The following is a 2871-nucleotide window of genomic DNA, read 5'->3' on the forward strand; positions in this document are numbered from 1 at the left end:
CACGGTACAGTTAATTACCTGGCTCTCCCAAAATATTGATCTTAAAATCACTACTTAGCAGAATTCTCACAGTTTATTTTCTGTGATGTGTGTGCTTGATTTTTGTAAGCATTAGCTAATAAGCACATGATTCAAATTACAGTTTTTTCTGATACTTCTTTACTTTTTTTTTTTTTTTTACCTTTGGCTTATAGTTTTACTCTTTTCCATTATTAGGAATTAGGACAGAAAAAGAGACAGGAGAGAGAGAGAAAAAAAAGAAAGAGAGATATGAGAAAGAGAGAGGTAAGAGAGAAGAGAGAGAGGTAATTATTTTCCTTAATTTTTAGATGCCATTTTTGATGGCATGTCACCATTATAAAAAGAGCCCTTTGCTAGACAGAATTCAGAAAACACTCATAGACCTCATTTGATATATCTCTCATCGATAAAGCCTATGTTTCTATTTCACCTCATCAAGAAATCCTAGTAGATTGTAAGCTCATTTCTCATCTTTTATCTTTTTTCCTCCTTCTCCTGCTGGGAAAGCCTTCTAAGTCATTTGAGGATAACAAGTAATAAAAATCTAGTTATTTGATGAAGAACAGTCCATTGGAATGCCAGGCATAGTAGGTCAATAATTACTCAGAAGTAAACAAATTGACTTACTTTCAAACATAGAAGAAGCAAAAGAAAATTTTCTGCAAATTATAAAGAGGGAATATATTATCCTAATTATCCTTCCAAAACATAATGCTGGAAAATAAGTATCTCTTCAGTTGCCATTGTTGGCAATGCAGAAATCTCAAAACAATAGCCTGCATTTTAAACGTGTTCTGTATGTATTATTGATACCTTCCTATTATCTAAAGTACATACGTGAATTATGATATAGAAAGCAAACCTTTTGCCCAACATTAGCTTTTTTTCCCACCTAAAGATAAAAGCCTACAGAATTAAAGGCTATCACATAGCAACCAGCAGAGAGCAGTAGAGAACTTCTCGAGTGCCTGCTGCTAAGCTCTTTGTTTCTGCTGTTTTAACTTTGTGTATAGAACAATCATTGAGCTGTCAGGCTAAATTAGCACAGAAATTCATGGAATCTGTTCAATCCAAACCACCTCCTTTTCCCAAAAATTGTTCTGCAGTTTACTGTAGCACATTAAGTTATGAAAGGGATATTTGCATGTTCTAAATTAATTTGATGGAAAATACGAAAAGGCAAAGAAAAGCAACATGGCCTTTGAAATTGCTTACATTATTCATATGGGAAATTCTTTAGCATAGGATGGTTCTAAGCTATGATCAAGTGGTGCTAACCCAAGCTTTCTTCTTTAGTGACTTGGCATTTAATATTATGTATGTATGTATTTTGGACTAAGCCTCTTCCGATAAAATCAAGTAGAAAATGAAAACCATCCTAACTGACTTCCCTTTAACATAGTTTTGCATTGACTGCATGATATATTTCAGAGTGGTGTTCTAGGTAAGGAGAGGAAAAAAACACAAAAAAGTCAGTCTTAAAAATCCTCAAGTCATTCAAAGACCATGCTGCCCTTGTTCGTATACACATTATTTGCACTGAATCTCCTGTAACACTCTGGTAAGAAATGACTAAAGAAATTTTAAATCCATTTAATTCATTAAATAAAAATAATATCTTATTCTGTCATAATTCTATTCAATTCAATTCCCATCAAATCAATGAAATTAAAGTTATTGTGCTGCTGTTCTGATTAGGCCACAAACTTTTCAGGGTTCTATAATTTTTTTTTTTTTTTAAGATGGAGTTGTGCTCTTTTTGCCCAGGCTGGAGTGCAATGGCACAATCTCGGCTCACTATAACCTCCACCTCCTGGGGTTCAAGTGATTCTCCTGCCTCAGCCTCCTGAGTAGCTGGGACTACAGGCGCATACTACCATGCCCAGCTAATTTTGTATTTTTAGTAGAGATGGGGTTTCACCATGTTGGCCAGGCTGGTCTTGAACTCCTGACCTCCAGTAATCCACCTGCCTTGGCCTCCCAAAGTACTGGGATTACAAGAGCGAGCCACTGCACCCGGCCAGAGTTCTATAATTCTTATGTGTATTATTGAGGGGTAGAGAGAACATTGGCTAAAACATTTGAAAATTGCTTGTGGCTTTGATCTGGATACTTAATGTGGTGTGCTGCTGAAAGTTTTATTGCATCTTGAGATGCTTGAATGTAAGCAACAGAAAACAACTTTAGCCAATTTAGACAATTAATATTTATTTAAAAGAATACTTCATAGCTCATAAAATCTCTGAGAGGCCTGGAGACCTACCTGGTCTTGGAGCACAAGGAGTCAGGAACCGCACCTGCAGGTATACTATAAACTGGTTTCAAGAACACACCTTAGGAATGATATCATAGGCATCAACAATGCGCAGGGTGGAGTGCTGAAAGAGAGCTGCTGTCCTTGCTGTCTACAGAAACCAGCACTACCTTCTTCTACTGCCGCCATCCTTGACAGAACGGATTTGGTACATTTATGCCTCCCTGCACCTCTAGCTTCTGTTTCAAAGACTGAGGTTGGCCTATTGATGACTACAGCCTAGAACATGTTCCCATATCTTCCCTACAGGGGAAGAGGGGGAGTGAACATTTTGACTGACGCTGCCCTGGTGGTTAGTAGGCTTTGCTACCTCAGGTGCTAATTCCTCACAGGTGAAAAGGGTATTCGCATCAGGTGACAGGAGCAATGGCATAGATCTACAACATATACTCCTCAGCAGCTGAAATTCATTTAGCACAGATCTATACATTTCGTACTGGGTTCCAGTAATAATGTAGTTGCTGAGGATACAACCATGAACAGTACAGATCAAGATACTTGCCACTGTGGAGTTTACATTCAGGCAGGGGAGGAAA

At 37.7% G+C, this 2871-nt stretch overlaps 1 annotated feature.

Moving 5' to 3' along the window:
* Positions 773 to 1289: an enhancer, noted in NCBI's record as "NANOG hESC enhancer chr10:9384821-9385337 (GRCh37/hg19 assembly coordinates)". NCBI's record gives its function as "activates a minimal SCP1, AML or CMV promoter by ChIP-STARR-seq in naive H9 embryonic stem cells {active_cell/tissue: H9 hESC(naive)}" and the evidence as "EXISTENCE:reporter gene assay evidence [ECO:0000049][PMID:30033119]".

The sequence above is a fragment of the Homo sapiens genome, chromosome 10, assembly GCF_000001405.40.
Source record: "Homo sapiens chromosome 10, GRCh38.p14 Primary Assembly".
NCBI classification, from domain to species: Eukaryota; Metazoa; Chordata; class Mammalia; order Primates; family Hominidae; genus Homo; species Homo sapiens.